Here is a 20038-nt window from a genome sequence, read left to right on the forward strand (position 1 = left end):
GGAAGTGGATCCTTTCGGCCTCGGTCAAGCCTTCAGATGAGACTGTAGCCCCAAGCGACATACTGACTGGATATGAGGGACACTTATCCAAAACTGCCCAGCCAAGCTGCTCCAAAATCCCTGACCCATAGATGCTGTGGGATAATAAATGTGTATTGCTTGTTAAGCCAGTAAGTTTTAAGATAATTTGTTATGCAGCAGATAATACATACAGATTTTAAACAGATCCCAGCACTTTGGGAGGCTGAGACAGGTGGGTCACTTGAGCCCAGAAGTTCGAGACCACCCTGGGCAATATGGTGAAACCCCACCACTACAAAAAAACACAAAACTTAGCTAGGTGTGGTGGCACACGCCCATAGTCCCAGATACTTGGGGGGCTGAGGTGGGAGGAGGATTGCTTGATCCTGAGAGGTTGAGGCTGCAGTGAGCCATAATCATGCCACCCACTGCACTTTAGCCTGGGTGACAGAGTGAGACCCTGTCTCGAAAAAAAAAAAAAACAGATTTTAAAAAGAAGGAACTTTTAGTGCCTAGTAAATTGAAAATATTTTTATAAATATTTAAATAATGATGACTCAATCAATCAATTTGGAAAAAAAGAGAAGAAAAAGATCAGCAAAAGTCACTATAAGTAGCTGTCCAGCCCACAAGGCCTATGAGGAATTGCGTTTTCTCCATTCACATATTTGAGAGTTTAAGTTATTTCGCATGGCTGTTCAATAACTAAATAACTTCAGAAGGCTACAGAACTTGGGATGCTGGGTTCCTATGCCTGCTCTTTTCTCTGGAGATGTGAGGCACCATCCAGATATCCCTTCCAAGTACCTGCCCTTGACTAAAGAAAACAGCCTTGCCCAAAATCACTCTCTCCTTGGGGTCAGCCCACTACTAAATACTGGTCAGTGAGGTCATATAAAGACCTGTGCCTTTTGTCCCAATTCAGAACAACTCTGCATTGCCAGCTCAGCTCCTGAGCACACTGTGAGGTTGGATGAGGTCTTTACTGAGACTGTATCACAGCCCAACTTCTCCTTCTGCCCAACCTTGCTTCCTTTACTCCCCTTGTTGTTGATTCCAACAGTGTTCCCTAACAACCTTCTGATATGCTCATTTCTTTCTCAGATTCTGCTTCCTAGGAAACAACTTGAAATATCTGGCAATTCTTGGATAGAAAGCCAGGCTCCATGATTCATCTTTTTATTCTTCCTTCTCTCCTTGCTTTCTTTCATTCTTTTGTTCATTCATTCATTCATATGTGCATTAATGTAATGAACAAAAGCTAGGAGCCCTGCATTAACCAGAAATTCATTTCAAGGCACTGGGTTTAGCAGTTTTATGAAGATGTTTGTGGATGTGGTTTCCTTTGCATTCATCTTGTTTGGGGTTCAAGGCACTCCTTGAAGCCAAAGCTTGATGTCTTTTGTCTCTTTTGGAAAATTCTTGATCACTATCTCTTCAAATTTTGCTTCTCTTCCTTCTTCCTCTCCTCTCCCTCTGGAATCTCAATCAAAAAGACCTTTTCAATGGGTCCTATATGAGTTGCACACATTCTTTTCAGTATTTTCCATCTTTCCCTCTACTTTTTGTTTCAATCTGGGTATTTTCTTCTAATCCTTCCGCTAGTTCACTAATTCTCTCTTCAAGTGTGTCTGATCTTCTATTAAACCCACGTATTGAATTCTTCATTTCAGTTTTTGAATTTTTCAGTTCTGAAATATTCATTTGACTTTTTTATAATTTCTAGATCTCTGCTGTAATTCTCTATCTAGTCATCTAATGTCTTATATATCTTAATCATATTAATTAAAGTTCATGTCTTATAATAAAATACAGCAATTAAAAATAACAAACTACTGATAAATACAACAACATGGATGTATTTCAACAGCATAATGCTGAATGAAAGAAGCCAGATGCAAAAGAGTATATACTGTATGAAGCAATTTATATGAAATTCCAGAAAATGTAAAGTAATCTATAGTGATAGAAGACAGATAAGTAGTTGATGGGTCTAGGAGGATGAAGTGATTGCACAGGGAATGAGAGAACATTTTGAGGTGATTAGAAGTTCTGTTTCTTCATTGTGGTAGCATTTATAAACGTGTATGCACGTGCCAAAACTTATCCAACTATATATGAGTATAATTTACTATACCTCAATAGTGTTGCTTTAAAAAACCCAGATTAAACCTAGACGAGTTGAGGAGATAGCTCCCAATTCTGGAAAATCCCAGAACACAAGAATTAAGAATAAATTAAATTATGATAAAAGAAGATCAAGTCCATGTTTAATAAACTCAAATATCTGGATCTCTTCAGGGTCTGATTTTTGCTCCTGGTTTTCAGTCATGTCATTTTATGTCCTAATATTTCTGGTAACTTTTTATTGAATTCTTAAAATTGGGCATAAAAATTTGAGGAGATAATTTGTGTTTCTGGATGATGTTATCTTTCTCCACAGAGGATTTAAATTTTCCTTCTGGCAAGCAGTTAGAAAAGAGGAAAATAACACTAATTCAATCAAGGATTGAGCAGATTTGATACTGGACTTCATTTTTATAAGCACTGGTCTATTTCTAGTTTACCCTTACTCTCAGAGTGTAGCCCCTCAGAGTCCCTACTGGACACATTGATATTTACCAAGGTCCCCTTCTGCTTGATGGAACTTGAGCACCAACATTTGTCCCTCAGCAACATGACATGCAGGAAGTTCTATTCAGCTTCTTAGTCTCTCAGCCGCCATTTTGGAATTAGCAAGTATCTTGAGAGGAAATGCAGTATTGAACTTTGGGCTCTTTCCTCTGTGCCTCCTTTCTTTCTGGAGTCATGGCCTGATATGGTTTGGCTGTGCCCCACCCCCCAAATCTCATCTTGAATTGTAGCTCCCATAATTCCCTCATGTTGTGGGAGGGACCCAGTAGGAGATAATTGAATCATGGGGTTGGCTTCCCCCATACTGTTCTCATGGTAGTGAATAAGTCTCATAAGATCTGATGGTTTTATAAGGGAAAACCCCTTTCATTTGGTTCTCTCATTCTCTCTTGTCTGCCACCATGTAAGAATGTAAGACGTGCCCTTCACCTTCCACCGTGATTGTGAGGCCTCCCCAGCCACATGGAACTATGAGTCCATTAAACCTCTTTTTCTTTAGAAATCACTCAGTCTCGGATATGTCTTTATCAGCAGCATGAAAACGGACTAATACGTGGCCACACTCAAGCCCTCACTTCCTTGGTAGCTTGATAATACCTTCAAACATTTTTAAAAATATATTTTATCCAGCTTTTCCAGTTATTCTTGGTAGGAGGATTGGTCTACAGCAAAACAACTCACCATTTCTGGAAGCAGAAATTTCTGCAGGACCCTAGGGGGACACAGATCCAAAGATAACTCCCACCTTCAAGAAACCTTCTAGGAGACCTTGAGAATTACTACAATGCTGTCTGCTAGATGGGCAGGCTACCAACCTGGTGCAATAGCTCTTTCCTGGCAACATTTCTTGTGTGCAGTCAGCCACAGGAAACAGTCAATTTTCTTTTTTTTTTTTTATTCTACTTTAAGTTTTAGGGTACATGTGCACAACGTGCCAGTTAGTTACATATGTATACATGTGCCATGTTGGTGTGCTGCACCCAGTAACTCATCATTTAACATTAGGTATATCTCCAAATGCTATCCCTCCCCTCTCCCTCCACCCCACAACAGGCCCCAGTGTGTGATGTTCCCCTTCCTGTGTGCATGTGTTCTCATCGTTCAAGTCCCACCTATAAGTGAGAACATGTGGTGTTTGGTTATTTGTCCTTGCGATAGTTTGCTGAGAATGATGGCTTCCATCTTCATCCATGTCCCTACAAAGGACATGAATTCATCATTTTTTATGGCTGCATAGTATTCCACGGTGTATATGTGCCACATTTTCTTAATCCAGTCTATCATTGTTGGACATTTGGGACATACTGTATATGTGAGTGTTGTTATTAGTATTTTTAACATTAATTTTCAATGTTAAAAATACTAATAACAACACACACATATACAGTATGTCACAATGCCTTATATGAGGCCAATTAATCATCTCATGTGAGCCTCAAAATTGATACTTTTTATAAAGACAGCTTTATTGAAGTATGATGTACATATAAAATTCACTCATTTTAAGTGCACAATTCAATCATTTTTAGTAAACTTGCAGAAATGTGACCATCATCAAAATCCAATTCTAGAACATGTCCATCTCCCCAAGAAGACACTTTGCACAAAAGTTACTCACTATTCCCAACTCTAGCCCCAGACAACCATTAATCTACTATCTGTCTCCATATATTTGCCTTTGCTGGATATTTCAAACAAACGAAACCCTACAGTGTGTGGTCTTTTACATCTGCCTTCTTTAATTTATCATAGTTGATCTTTAATGTAGGTATTATTAGCCTCACTTTAGAGATGAGAAAATGGAGAATTGGAGAGATTAAAAGACTTGCCTGAGGTTAATCAGCTGGTGAAAGATAAGGACACCAAGATCTGAACCCACGTCTAAAAGCTTTTTCTCCCTACAAAACCACCTTCATCATATGTGAGCTTCCTGGGAGTCAGAGTCATATTCCATGGGCTCCTAGACCCTGGGTGGTGAGCAAAGGGTCTGCCCCATTGTGGATATACAGGAGTTATTTGTTAAACTGAAACAAATTTATCCTATATTAGTTCCTGCTTCTATCTCAATTCACCATCCCCAAACACCATTCTGAGTGACCTCCTGTTGCCTGCCATTAGTTGATGTTTGCTTAGGGACCACACATTTGTGTTATGGCTGACAGAAGAAAAACACAAAGGAAACAAAAAGAAATACAGACATTATGGAAGTACATGCAGCACAAATAGTTTGTGAGTTTACCACTATTGAAGCTTATGCACTCTAGAGCTCCCAGTGAGCAGATATCTGTGCCCTGATAGAGATGAATTAGGTTTCTCCCTAGCTCCAATATCAGCAGCAAAGACTGGAAGAGTGAACTCATTCTCTGCTTACATGGCTCAAATGTAGGTCAAGACACTTCTCTGTGAGCTGTGACCAATAACCAATGTGTGGGTATTTATCATTCTTCTTTTTTTCTGATTACGCCATTCCTAGTTATCATGACTTAGACTTAACAATAAGTTCTGGGAAAGCAGGGAGAGACCATTCTAGTCATATTTCATTGATTCTGCTTATATATTCACTACATACATACAAAACAAAACCTAAACATGTAGTAAGCCCCTTCCATCTGTAAATTACTGTGGGAATATTAGAGGATATATAATCTGAGTCTCCACTTCTAAGGAATTTTATTATTGAATTTGGAGGCAGTTGATATGGTTTGGCTCTGTGTCCCCACCCAAATCTCATCTCGAATTGTAATCCCCACGTGTCAAGAGGGGAAAATTACTGGATTATCGGGGTGGTTTCCTCCATACTGTTCATGATAGCAAATGAATTCTCATGAGATCTGATGGTTTTATAAATGGTAGTTTTTCCTGTGCTTTCACATGCTCTCTCTTACCTGCCACCATGTAAGACATGCCTGCTTCCCCTTCCACCATAACTAAGTTTCCTGAGGCTTCCCCAGCCATGCAGAGCTGTGAGTCAATTAAACCTCTTTTCTTTATAAATTATCCAGCCTCTGGCAGTTATTTACAGCAGTGTGAAAATGGAATAATACAGCAGTAGAGAAGAAAGATTAAAAGCACAGGATCTGGAATGATTTTGGCTGACTCCACGACTTACTAGCTGCATTCACATAGGCAGGTTAGTTAACCTCTCTGTGCCTCAGTCTCCTCATCAGTAGCATGAGGATAAATATAGTATGTGCTTCATAGGGTTGTTACAAGGATTTAAATGATATAGGCATGAAAAGGGGCTGGTACAGAGCAAGAATTTAGTGATTGCATCCACATATAAATGCATGTCATCAACACAGACCTCCTCTTGTAATTTAGTTAATGGTATTATACCAATGCCATTTTCTTGTTCAGGTAATATATAGTGATGATGTAAGACAATATCATTGGAAGAAACTAAGTGAAGAGTACATAGGAACTCTATACTATTTTTGCAACTTCTTGTGAGCCCAAAATTATTTCAAAATAAAACATATTTTTAAAAATTTCAAAACCAAATATAAAAATAATAATCATAATGCAGACCTTCTCCCCACAAGCCAACCTCTACCACTGTCTCCTACAGCTCCATGCTGTAGCTGCACAACAAAAATTTGCAAAGGATGAAAGATAAAGGGACCATCCACATTCCATGGGCACCTTATGGATGCATTTGCACATCCTATTACATTAACTTAGGGAGCTAAGGAATAATCTCAGTGAGCACATGAAAGTTATGTAACTGCTTTGACCTCACAAGCAGGATGGCAACAGTTGGCAAACTCTTGATGGGGCAGTTGATGGGAGAATTTGAGACCATTTTCATCAGTGACTCCCAATGTGACTTTAGGCATATCTCTACATCTCTCTGCACTTCTATATTTTTTTTTTGTTTAAGTATGGTGGAAAACTGCCTAATCCTCTTGGGAATCCAGGATTTGGAATGTGATTCACTCAGGATTAAATCATCATTTCCTGCATCTTATTTTACATAATTCAAGAACTCAGAGAGTCAACACTGTTGAAATTTACAATCAGCCTTCACAGACTCTGTACTCAAAACATCTGCAAAGCAAAAGAAAGAGTCTATCTCAGAGAACCTCTTTGATAAGACAATAAAAGTTACTTTATTCAACTGGCATCTTATTCTCAATGAGCCTATTTGTGCAATTTGAGTGTTGTGCAATTTAGTTATCAAGGTTTTTTTTTTCCTGTCCCTGGAAGACAAGGTCAAGCAGGATGTGCATGTTAACACCTTCCACTGACTTAAACAAAGGTAACACCAGATCTAACCCACACTGGTTGGAGAGATTCTCCACACAAAATCTTGTGGAGAGATTTTGCTGCACAAAACTTCCAGATCCACTCTGTGCCATAAAGCTTCAATTCAATGGGATTTCCAGCATCTTGAATTGTTTAGAAATGTCATTTACTCCACTTTTAGGAATAAGAAGAGATAATTTCCCAAACCCATCCAAGCTGTTACACACTCAATAGATATTTCTTGAACCTCTTTTATGTTCCATATATGGTGCTGAATGCAAGAAATATAAGAAGAAAGCATGAATACTGCCCTCTTGGAATGCATTGTTGGGTCTGGGAGAAAGACAAATAGCCCTAAAATTATAGCATATTGAGGTAGGCATGCACTCCAATGGAGGAAGTTTAAGGTAGTGACTCAAAGCACAGGTATTAACAGTCAGAGCTGACATGAAAACCAGACTCTGCCAGCTGCTGGTATGAGGCTCAGAGGAAGCTACCCCACCTCTTTGAGCCTCATTTTCCTCTGCTTTAAATTTCATAATGCAAATTTGATAATGTGCTTCGCACATGGTAGATACCAATGAACACTCAGAGGTGAATACCAGTTAAATTCCATAACAATATCTCACATTTATACATTTACTTATTTATGCCTTTGGGTTTTTTTTAATTATTATACTTTAAGTTCTAGGGTACATGTGCACAACATGCAGGTTTGATACATAGGTATACATGTGACTTGTTGGTTTGCTGCACCCATCAACTCATCATTTACATTAGGTATTTCTCCTAATGCTATCCCTCCCCCAGCCCCGCACCCCGATAGGCCCCAGTGTGTGATGTTCCCTCCCTGTGTCCAAGTGATCTCATTGGTCAGGTCCTGCCTATGAGTGAGAACATACAGTGTTTGGTTTTCTGTCCTTGTGACTAGTTTGCTGAGAATGATGGTTTCCAGCTTAATCCATGTCCCTGCAAAGGACATGAACTCATCCTTTTTTATGGCTGCATAGTATTCCATGGTGTATATGTGCCACATTTGCTTAATCCAGTCTATCATTGATGGACATTTGGGTTGGTTCCAAGTCTTTGCTATTGTGAATAGTGCCACAATAAACATACATGTGCATGTGTCTTTATAGTAGCATGATTTATAATCCTTTGGGTATATACCCAGTAATGGGATTGCTGGGTCAAATGGTAATTCTAGTTCTAGATCCTTGAGGAATCGCCACACTGTCTTCCACAATGGTTGAACTAATTTTCTCTCCCACCAACAGTGTAAAAGCGTTCCTATTTCTCCACATCCTCTCTAGCATCTGTTGTTTCCTGACTTTCTAATGACTGCCATTCTAACTGGTGTGAGATGGTATCTCATTGTGGTTTTGATTTGCATTTCTCTGATGGCCAGTGATGATGAGCATTTTTTCATGTGTCTGTTGGTTGCATAGATGTCTTCTTTTGAGAAGTGTCTGTTTATATCCTTTGCCCACTTTTTGATGGGGTTGTTTTTTCTTGTAAATTTGTTTGAGCTCTTTGTAGATTCTGGATATTAGCCCTTTGTCAGATGGGTAGATTGCAAAAATTTTCTCCCATTTTGTAGGTTGCCTGTTCACTCTGATGGTAGTTTCTTTTGCTGTGCAGAAGCTCTTTAGCTTAATTAGATCCCATTTGTCTATTTTGGCTTTTGTTGCCATTGCTTTTGGTGTTTTAGTCACGAAGTCCTTGCCCATGCCTATGTCCTGAATGTATTGCCTAGGTTTTCTTCTAGGGTTTTTATGGTTTTAGGTCTAACATTTAAGTCTTTAATCCATCTTGAATTAATTTTTGTATAAGGTGTAAGGGATCCAGTTTCAGCTTTCTACATATGGCTAGCCAGTTTTCCCAGCACCATTTATTAAGTACGGAATACTTTCCCCATTTCTTATTTTTGTCAGGTTTGTCAAAGATTAGATGGTTATAGATGTGTAGTGTTATTTCTGAGACCTGTCCCACTGGTGTATCTCTCTGTTTTGGTACCAGTACCATGCTGTTTTGGTTACTGTAGCCTTGTAGGATAGCTTAAAGTCAGGTAGCGTGATGCCTCCAGCTTTGTTCTTTTGGCTTAGGATTGTCTTGGCAATGCAGGCCATTTTTTGGTTCCATATGAACCTTAAAGTAGTTTTTTCCAATTCTGTGAAGAAAGTCATTGGTAGCTTGATGGGGATGGCATTGAATCTTTGGGCAGCATGGCCATTTTCATGATATTGATTCTTCCTATCCATGAGCATGGAATATTCTTCCATTTGTTTGTGTCATCTTTTATTTCACTGAGCAGTGGTTTATAGTTCTCCTTGAAGAGGTCCTTCACATCCGTTGTAAGTTGGATTCCTAGGTATTTTATTCTCTTTGTAGCAATTGTGAATGGGAGTTCATTCATGATTTGGCTCTCCGTTTGTCTGTTAATGGTGTATAGGAATGCTTGTGATTTTTGCACGTTGATTTTGTATCCTGAGACTTTGCTGAGGTGGATTATCAGCTTAGGAGATTTTGGGCTGAGGCGATGGGGTTTTCTAATATACAATCATGTCATCTGCAAACACGGACAATTTGACTTCCTCATTTCCTAATTGAATACCCTTTATTTCTTTCTCTTGCCTAATTGCTCTGGCCAGAACTTCCAACACTATGTTGAATAGAAGTGGTGAGAGAGGGCATCCCTGACTTGTGCCAGTTTTCAAAGGGAATGCTTCCAGTTTTTGCCCACTCAGTATGATATTGGCTGTGGGTTTGTCATAAATAGCTCTTATTATTTTGAGATACGTCCCATCATTACCTAGTTTATTGAGAGTTTTTAGCATGAAGGGCTGTTGAATTTTGTCAAAGGCCTTTTCTACATCTATTGAGATAATCATGTGGTTTTTGTCATGGGTTCTGCTTATGTGATGGATTGCATTTATTGATTTGCATATGTTGAACCAGCCTCACATCTCCGGGATGAAGCCGACTTAATCGTGGTGGACAAGCTTTTTGATGTGCTGCTGGATTTGGTTTGCCAGTATTTTATTGAGGATTTTCGCATTGATGTTCATCAGGGATATTGGTCTAAAATTTTCTTTTTTTGTTGTGTCTCTGCCAGGCTTTGGTATCAGGATGATGTTGGCCTCATAAAATGAGTTAGGGAGGATTCCCTCTTTTTCTATTGATTGGAATAGTTTCAGAAGGAATGGTACCAGCTCATCTTTGTACCTCTAGCAGAATTTGGCTGTGAATCCATCTGGTCCTGGACTTTTTTGGTTGGTAGGCTATTAATTATTGCCTCAATTTCAGAGCCTGTTATTAGTCTATTCAGAGATTCAATTTCTTCCTGGTTTAGACTTGGGAGGGTATATGTGTCCAGGAATTTATCCATTTCTTCTAGATTTCCTAGTTTATTTGCGTAGAGGTGTTTATAATATTCTCTGATGGTAGTTTGTATTTCTGTGGGATCGGTGGTGATATCCCCTTTATCACTTTTTTATTGCATCTATTTGATTCTTCTCTCTTTTCTTCTTTATTAGTCTTGCTAGCAGTCTATCTATTTTGTTGATCTTTTCAAAAAACCAGCTCCTAGATTCACTGATTTTTTTGACGGGTTTTTTGTGTCTCTATCTCTTTCAGTTCTGCTCTGATCTTAGTTATTTCTTGTCTTCTGCTAGCTTTTGAATTTGTTTACTCGTGCTTCTCTAGTTCTTTTAATTGTGATGTTGGGGTGTTGATTTTAGATCTTTCCTGCTTTCTCTTGTGGGCATTTAGTGCTATAAATTTCCCTCTACACATTGCTTTAAATGTGTCCCAGAGATTCTGGTACCTTGTGTCTTTGTTCTCATTGGTTTCAAAGAACATCTTTATTTCTGCCTTCATTTTGTTATCTACCCAGTAGTCATTCAGGAGCAAGTTGTTCAGTTTCCATGTAGTTGTGCAGTTTTGAGTGAGTTTCTTAATCCTGAGTTCTAATTTGATTGCACTGTCGTCTGAGAGACAGTTTGTTGTGATTTCTGTTCTTTTACATTTGCTAAGGAGTGCTTTACTTCCAATTATGTGATCAATTTTAGAATAAGTGCGATGTGGTGCTGAGAAGAATGTATACTCTGTTGATTTGGGGTGGAGAGTTATGAAGATGTCTATTTGGCCTGCTTGTTGCAGATCTGAGTTCAGGTCCTGGATATCCTTGGTAACCTTCTGTCTCATTGATCTGCCTAATATTGACAGTGGGGTGTTACAGTCTCCCATTATTATTGTGTGGGAACCTAAGTCTCTTTGTAGGTCTCTAAGGACTTGCTTTATGAATCTAGGTGCTCCTGTATTGGGTGCATATAAATTTAGGATAGTTAGCTCTTCTTGTTAAATTGATCCCTTTACCATTATGTAATGGGCTTCTTTTGATCTTTGTTGGTTTAAAGTCTGTTTTATCAGAAACCAGGATTGCAACCCCTGCTTTTTTTTTTTGCTTTCCATTTGCTTGGTAGATCTTCCTCCATCCCTTTATTTTGAGCCTATGTGCGTCTTTACACGTGATATGGGTCTCCTGAATACAGCACACTGATGGGTCTTGACTCTTTATCCAATTTGCCAGTCTGTGTCTTTTAATTGGGGCATTTAGCCCATTTACATTTAAGGTTAATATTGTTATGTGTGAATTTGATCCTGTCATTATGATGTTCACTGGTTATTTTGCCCATTAATTGATGTAGTTTCTTCCTAGCATTAGTGGTCTTTATAATTTGGCATGTTTTTGCAGTGGCTGGTACCAGTTACTTCTTTCCATGTTTAGTGCTTCCTTCAGGAACTCTTGTAAGGCAGGCCTGGTGGTGACAAAATCTCTCAGCATTTACTTGTCCGTAAAGGATTTTATTTCTCCTTCACTTATGAAGTCTAGTTTGGCTGGATATGAAATTCTGGGTTGAAAATTCTTTTCTTTAAGAATGTTGAACATTGGCCCCCACTCTCTTCTGGCTTGTAGGGTTTCTGCTGAGAGATCCACTGTTAGTCTGATGGGCTTCCCTTTGTGGGTAACCTGACCTTTCTCTCTGGCTGCCCTTAACACTTTTTCCTTCATTTCAACCTTGGTGAATCTGACAATTATGTGTCTTGGGGTTGCCCTTCTCAAGGAGTATCTTTGTGGTGTTCTCTGTGTTTCCTGAATTTGAATGTTGGCCTGCCTTGCTATGTTGGAGAAGTTCTCCTGGATAATATACTGAAGAGTGTTTTCCAACTTGGTTCCATTCTCTGCATCACTCTCAGGTACACCAATCAAACGTAGATTTGGTCTATTCACATAGTCCCATATTTCTTGGAGGCTTTGTTCATTTCTTTTTACTCTTTTTTCTCTAACCTTGTTTTCTTGCTTTATTTCATTAATTTGATCTTCAATCACTGATACCCTTTCTTCCACTTGATCGAATCAGCTATTGAAGTTTGTGCACGCGTCACGAAGTTCTCGTGCCATGGTTTTCAGCTCCATCAGGTCATTTAAGGTCTTCTCTATGCTGTTTATTCTAGTTAGCCATTCATCTAATCTTTTTTCAAGGTTTTTAGCTTCCTTGTGGTGGATTCGAACATCCTCCTTTAGCTCAGAGTTTATTACTGACCTTCTGAAGCCTACTTCTGTTAACTCGTCAAAGTCATTCTCTGTCCAGCTTTGTTCCGTTGCTGGTGAGGAGCTGCAATCCTTTGGAGGAGAAGAGGCGCTCTGATTTTTAGAATTTTCAGCTTTTCTGCTCTGGTTTCTCCCCATCTTTGTGGTTTTATCTACCTTTGGTCTTTGGTGTTGGTGACCTACAGATGGGGTTTTGGTGTAGATGACCTTTTTGTTGATGTTTATGCTATTCCTTTCTGTTTTTTAGTTTTCCTTCTAATAGTCAGGTCCCTCAGCTGCAGGTCTGTTGGAGTTTGCTAGAGTTCTACTCCAGACCCTGTTTGCCTGGGTATCACCAGCAGAGGCTGCAGAACAGCAAATATTGCTGCCTGATCCTTCCTCTGGAAGCTTCGTCCCAGAGGGGGAGCCACCTATATGAGATGTCTGTTGTCCCCTACTGGGAGGTGCCTCCCAGTTAGGCTACACGGGAGTCAGGGACCCACTTGAGGAGGCAGTCTGTCTGTTCTCAGAGCTCAAACGCCATGCTGGGAGAACCACCGCTCTCTTCAGAGCTGTCAGACAGGGACATTTAAGTCTGCAGGAGTTGTCTGCTGCCTTTTGTTCAGCTACGCCCTGCCCACAGAGGTGGAGTCTAGAGGCAGTAGGCCTTGTTGAGCTGCTGTGGGCTCCGCCCAGTTCGAGCTTCCCAGCTGCTTTGTTTACCTACTCAAGCTTTAGCAATGGTGGCTGCCCCTCCCCTAGCCAGGCTGCTGTCTGGCAGATCGATCTCGGACTGCTGCGCTAGCAGTGAGCAAGGCTCCATGGGCATGGGAGCCACCAAGCCAGGCATGGGAGAGAATCACCTTGTCTGCCAGTTGCTAAGACCTTGGGAAAAGCACAGTATTTGGGTGGGAGTGTCCTGTTTTTCCAGGTAGTCTGTCATGGCTTCCCTTGGCTAGGAAAGGGAAATCCCCCAACCCCATGCGCTTCCCAGGTGAGTTGATGACCCGCACTGCTTTGGCTCACCCTCCATGGGCTGTGCCCACTGTCCAACCAGTCCCAATGAGATGAACCAGGTACCTCATTTGGAAATGTAGAAATCACCGTCTTCTGCGTCGATCATGCTGGGAGCTGCAGACCAGAGCTGTTCCTATTTGGCCATCTTGGAATGCTTTCTATGCCTTTGGTTTATGTCAGAATATACTTAAAACTGCTTACATTCATACATTACAGAAAAAAAAGGTGTTTTTTGTGGTCTAATGAGAAAACTGGACAAGAAGGAAACAAGAGTAAGAAAAACATGTGAAACCAAACGGGAGAAAAGAACACAAAATCTATGCTGACAATTGCAATAAGTTGGTCACAGATTTGATTTTGAGTTTCCTCGTGATCACAGCAAAAAGGAAAACACAGCAGTTATCTGACTCAGTCACTAGTTCCATAATCTGCAAAACAAGAGTGCATGAGAATCAGAACTCTTCCTGTTCCTGACATCAGAAATAAATTACTCCTATATGTCCTCAATAGGACACTAGTTACTATAGCAATCAACATCCTCAACAACTCTTGGAATTGTCTTAAAATGTCCTTTAATTGATAGTGAAGAATATAAGAACCAATGTGTAAGTCTGTGGAAGTAGTTCAATGAGAAGTTAAAATAATGCAGCTCTGGCATCACCCAAAGACTAATTCTGGCATAACAAGAAGAGTTGTACATATCCTCCATAAAGTCTACTCCCATCATTCAACCTTTAGCAAAACAAGCAACAGCAAGTCCCCTACCAAGTGGCCTGCCAGCAGCTTTACCAAGGATGCTGCCATCTGCTTTGTTGTTCAGCCTGCTGGACTCATGCAGAAGTGGGTCATGGGAGTGCTCATGGACAGGCCAACAGGACCATTCTCAAGTGGCTTTGGATTCCTTCCCCCGCAGAGGAAGAAGAAAAATCCCTGGGGTCTAAGGAACAGGTGTTGCACATGCCTAATGTCCTCCCACTAGCGACGTCTCTCAGCAGCCCAGTGATTCTCATTTGCGGAAACACTTATCTACCAAACTGCAGGCCAACAGATGACACATACTGTAGGTGCTCGATGCTCAATTGTGTTCTAGGCAGAGAGAACAGCATGTGCAAAAGCCCTGGGGTTGAAGACAATATGGTGGTATGAAGAATGCCAGTAGGGGAGGAAAGGAAGAAAATGTGTGTGTGTGTGTGCATGTGTATGTGTGTGTGCACATGTGTGTGCATGTGTAAAGGAAGAGGGGTTGGAAGGTTGGGGGAGATATGGTACAAAATGAAGCTGGAGATGTAGGCACTAGTGCACACAGAGCCTAGTGTGCCAAGGACTGAGTTTTGTACAGCCATGGAAGGATTATAAACAGGGGCTACCTGATCGGATTTGCCTTTTCAAAGATCTCGTTGTCTGCAGAGTGGGGAATGAATTGGAAGAAGGCAAAGGGAAACGAGGAGTTAGGAGACTGTGGGCGGTGGTGATGGTTCTGACCCAGCAGTGGAAAGGTGGATGGAGAGAAGTGATTTGAGAGCTAATTAGGAAATGCAAATTGGCAGAGGGTAGGGACGCAAGGTTCTCTGGGAGTTGCAGTCATTGAATGGATGAAAGAGATTGGGACCAATGAGTGGTACCAATGAGTGGTATTGATGGGTAGAGAAACTGGGGACCGGGGTTACATCTTCTGCAAAAAGCAGGAACCCTGCTGATAAAGGACAATGGTACTGTTTCCTGTGGGTATAGATTCTCCAAAGACCTGAGGATTCACAATCCAAGCCAATGAGCTCTGTGAGAAGTAAAAATGCTCCCCAGGCTGACAAGAGACGGGCTGTAGAATAAGATTCTCAGTAAATATTTGTTGAGTAAGCCAGGCGTGCTGGCTCACACCCATAGTCCCAACACTTTGGGAGGCTGAGGCCAGGAGCTCAAGACCAGCCTGGGAAACAGTGAAACTCTGTCTCTACAAGAAAACTTTTTTAAATTAGCCAGGCATAGTGGCCTGTACCTGTAATCCCAGCTACTTGAGAGGTTGAAATGGGAGGATCACTTGAGCCCAGGTGTTTGAGGCTGCAGCAAGCTATGATCACTCCACTGTACTCCAGCCTGGGCAACAGAGTGAGATTCTGCCTCTAAATAAAGAAATAAATAAAAATTTGTTGAGTGATTAAATGACTCCTGGCTGAGTCGGGAGCTGCTAGAGAGATGCAATTTTAAAACAGCAAGCCTATATGATGGCCTGACCTCCTGTAACTACTTCTGTGCTTGAAAAATATCTTAGACTTTTATTTTATGACTAAACAACAATTTCATGATTCTTCTTTGTGATTATCATAAATCTAGGTCTTTTATTTCTCCATCAGAGAAACAATCTTGACTTTTATCTACATTTTTCATGCCTAATTATTTTTCTTCATCAATATTCCAATATGCTAAATATTATGATAATATAGCTAGATAATCTTTAGTTGGTTCCTTTTCAAGCATACCAAGAGTTCATTAACAACCAGAATCCAAATGAAACCCCAGTGTTTGTCATGTACTGATCAATAGGAAGAATCGAGTGACTTGAGGGTAAAGCAGGGATAATTACCATTATTTATCAAATGAAATAATACACAAAAAGTACTTTTAAACCAAAAGCAGTATGCAATATGTGAGCTGTTATTATCATTCATTAAACAAAATTGCAAAGCATAGAGTCCCCATAAAACATTTATTTTGAGCAGCAACAAGTTCCTGGTATACCCACAAAAATAAACTAGTTGCAAATATATTACTGGTATCAGGATGGAGTAATACAGTACAAAAGACCATTAACTAAAAGTCAGAAATATAGGAAGTCATCTGCCAAAATTCTGACTATTTTTTCATAGCTGTCCAGGAACATTTAATTTTGGCTAGAATTATTAATAGGAGAGGCTAGTTGTCTATTAAGACCATTCTCAATTTACAGCAGTAAACTACATTATTCAACAACTTCATTAAACCAGTATTGAGTCCTTTATATGACAGGCTGTAAGAGAATGCTTATGGCTCTAGTCCTACTCCTTTTTTTTTTTTTTTTTTTTTTTTGAGATGATATCTCACACTGTCACCTGGGTTGGAGTGCAGTGGCGCAATCTTGGTTCACTGCAACCTCCACCTCCCAGGTTCAAGTGATTCTCCTGCCTCAGCCTCCCAAGCAGCTGGGATTACAGGTGCCCGCCACCATGCCTGGCTAATTTTTTTTGTATTTTTAGTAGAGACGGGGTTTCACTTTGTTGGCCAGGCTGGTCTCAAACTCCTGACTTCATGATCAACCTGCCTCGGCCTCCCAAAGTGCTGGGATTACAGGCATGAGCCACCATGCCCTGCCACCTACTCCTTTTTCTAGCTTTGATTTCAGGTTCAGGGGTACATGTGCAGGTTTGTTATACAGGTAAATTGCGTGTCATGGGGGTTTGGTGTACAGATTATTTCATCACTCAGGCAATAAGCATAGTACCTGACAAGCTGTTTTTCGATCCTCTCCCTCCTCCCACCCTCCACCCTCAAGTAGGCCCTGGTGTCTGTTGTTCCTTTCTCTGTGTCCATGTGTGCTCAATGTTTAGCTCTTAAGTATAAGTGAAAACATGCGGTATTTGGTTTTCTGTTCCTGCATTCGTTCACTTAGGATAATGGCCTCCAGCTCCAACCATGTTGCTGCAAAGGACATGATCTCATTCATTTTTATGGCTGTGTAGTGTTCCATGGCGTACATGTACCACATTTTCTGTATCCAGTCCACTGCTGATGGGCATTGAGGTGGATTCCATGTCTTTGCTATTGTGAATAGTGCTGTAATGAACTGCTCTATTTTTAGTTGCAGGAGAGCTTTCATCCAATTATTCCAAGGGGGAATAAAGTCATTCAGGTACAATTGTTAAAAAGCTGGAGCATACCCCTTTTGCATGGCTACTGGAAATAGTGATTTGATTTATCAAAAGACATTTTTCAGCAACTCCTGCCTTCATAATGTTACTTAAGTTACGATGTTCACTATCCTCCAGTGATGTGGATTTCCTTTCAATTCTCTAAATATTGCCAACCTCTTTCCTGCTTCAAGTCCCTGGAAGTTCCACTTCTCTCCGCTGAGAACACTCTTCTTCTGGTTCTTCTCATATCTGGCTCCTCCTTCATCTTCATGTCTCAGCTTGAATGTCTTCTTCTCAGCAGAGCCACCAGGAACAGGTGTGCGGGTTGCGCCTTGCCCAAGGGCTCCTGGGTCAGGGAATATCAGTGTCCCAGAACTACTATAACAGAAAATCACAAACCGTGTGCCTTAAAACAACAGATATTTATTCTCTCACGGTTCTAGAGAAGTCTGAAATCAAGGTGTTGACAGGATTGGTTCTTTGTAGAGGCCCTAGGAAGGATAAATTCCATGCCTCTCTTCTATCACCTGATAGTTGCTGGCAATCCTTGGCTTGTGGCTGTATAACTCCAATCTCTGCCTCTGTCCTCACATGGTCTCCTTCCTGTGTCTTTTTGCAAGGACATCAGTCATTGCGTTTAGGGCTCACTTAATCCATCGTGACCTCACCCTAACTCATCGCATCTGCAAAGACCCTATTTCTGTTAATAAAATCACACTCTGGGGTTCTGCATGGATATAAGTTTTGGGAGGATGCTACTCAACCCGGTACAGGGAGACAAATTGGGGGTGGAATTTCACCTGCACTGTGCTCCTCCAGACATGCCCCAGTGTGGGGTGATGCTGTCCAGGGAAGTATGTTTTTCTAACTGATGCCATATGGACCAGGCAGCCCTGCCTGACTCTGCTTCACATAATTTTGGAACTATCTGGATGATTTGTTTTCCCATTTCCTATCTGGCAATCAGTCCATAAAGGCGGACGCTGTGTCTGTCTTACATACCCAGAGCCTAGCCCAGCCCCTAGCATGTGGTGGGCGATCCATGACTATACATCAAATGAATGGCAGTTCAGTTTCTATCCAAGAGTCAGCAACCAAGGTCCAGCCTTGACCTCTTACAGCTTATCCCATAACAAATCCCTGTCCACAAAAGCCAAAAAGAAAGGTAGCTCTGATCAGGTAGGGAGAGGGAGGGAGCCTCGTTTAGAGGAAAACTACACACACTGAACAGGTTTGAAGTTGTCATTCATCTAATGGAAGGAGAAAGACAAAATATGCAAGACGGAACTTCCAAAAGCCATTGCATGCATCAGATCCTCTGTAGAATCTGAAAGCCCCTGAGTCTACCTGGCCCTCCTCAAGTACCAAACTTTTTGACAACACCCATGAATTCAGTCAGTTGCCAGACCAAAATTAAAACAAGAAGAAAATTCACTCCAAGCAAAAAAAGGGCTAGAGTGAGGTGCCCCCCAGGATAAAGCCTTATGGGAGTCATCCTTTTCCCAGGTTCACACACACAAGCGAGGAGGAATTGCCCTCTCGGGTGACACTCGCATGGCTAAGAGAACCGGCCACAGGGAAGCAATGTCATTAGGCAGGAATCAGGGCTGGATCCCATCAGACAAGCCCTGTTCAGCATTCAGAACTCCAGAGATGACTGGCCTGTCCTGAGAAATCTGAAATCAACCAGGGTTACTTCCGAGTAGATGATATTTTTCTTGGTTGGGAGAATGTAAATGTTGAGACAAATCATATTCATCTTCCTGGGAAACAGAGTTGGGTCCAGAAGGCAGACCCTCTGGCCACCCCAAAGATGGAGATGTGAGAGAAGTTATCCAGCCTAAGCCCACCCAGCAGAGGTTAGGGAGGCCCAAATGCAATGGCTCCAGAGACCTGAGCCCTGGATTGTCAAGGAGGCAATGCCACATACAAGACCTGCCCAAGGTATTGTGGAGGCTGCTGTTCCAGCCAATCAGACATCCACACACAGCAAATTGCAGGTTAACCCACGGCCAGTCTCCCAGCATGGAGGTTCTCTGGAAAACTCAGAGTTTGCTGCTAAAATTCAGGGGCAGAAGGAAGCAAGTCTCCTGTCCCCTCATTCATGATAAGGACTTGCTCTTTCCTGTCTTCCCCACAGCCAGACTTTTTCTGCTATTAAAAACACCACTAAAAATAATGGACTACAGACATAAAGGGGCAGAGGAAAGAAACACCCTATATTTTAAACAACAAAGGGAGGGTAGGTGATTATGAAGTGATTAAAACTAAGAGCAAACTAAAAGAGATGAATAACCTAGAAGTTAAAAATGAGTTAGAATTCCAATAAATAGAAGACATTAACTGTTTTTCCTCTAACTAGTGAGATAAAAGAAAAGGAATTTAAAATAACAAAGATTGCCAGTCAATGAAGCCAAAATTTAAAAGATGAAAGGCAAAAGAGATGAAAGGTTAAGATACATGGTTTAAACCCAAGAGATGATCAGTATAAGACGCCAAAGTAAGTGATGGGTTTAAGGATTAAGAAATAAAGAACAGAAAATATAATTTTTTAATGAGATAAATATTTTTAATCAAGGTTTACATTTTGGAATACTTTCAGATTTACAGAAAAGTTGCAGAGATAGTACAAAAGAGTTCTCATATA

The 20038-nt window shown here is 40.8% G+C and overlaps 1 protein-coding gene across 7 annotated transcripts in view, besides 2 other annotated features; it reads right to left on the reverse strand.

The window, feature by feature from the left end:
• Nucleotides 1-20038, reverse strand: part of KSR2 (kinase suppressor of ras 2) — a 515979-nt gene that overhangs the window by 162661 nt on the left and 333280 nt on the right. The gene's annotated exons all lie outside the window — the stretch shown is intronic.
• Nucleotides 12815-13315: an enhancer, noted in NCBI's record as "H3K4me1 hESC enhancer chr12:118066292-118066792 (GRCh37/hg19 assembly coordinates)". NCBI's record gives its function as "activates a minimal SCP1, AML or CMV promoter by ChIP-STARR-seq in naive and primed H9 embryonic stem cells {active_cell/tissue: H9 hESC(naive and primed)}" and the evidence as "EXISTENCE:reporter gene assay evidence [ECO:0000049][PMID:30033119]".
• Nucleotides 13316-13816: an enhancer, noted in NCBI's record as "H3K4me1 hESC enhancer chr12:118066793-118067293 (GRCh37/hg19 assembly coordinates)". NCBI's record gives its function as "activates a minimal SCP1, AML or CMV promoter by ChIP-STARR-seq in naive H9 embryonic stem cells {active_cell/tissue: H9 hESC(naive)}" and the evidence as "EXISTENCE:reporter gene assay evidence [ECO:0000049][PMID:30033119]".

This window comes from Homo sapiens, chromosome 12, assembly GCF_000001405.40.
Source record: "Homo sapiens chromosome 12, GRCh38.p14 Primary Assembly".
In the NCBI taxonomy this organism is placed as follows: domain Eukaryota; kingdom Metazoa; phylum Chordata; class Mammalia; order Primates; family Hominidae; genus Homo; species Homo sapiens.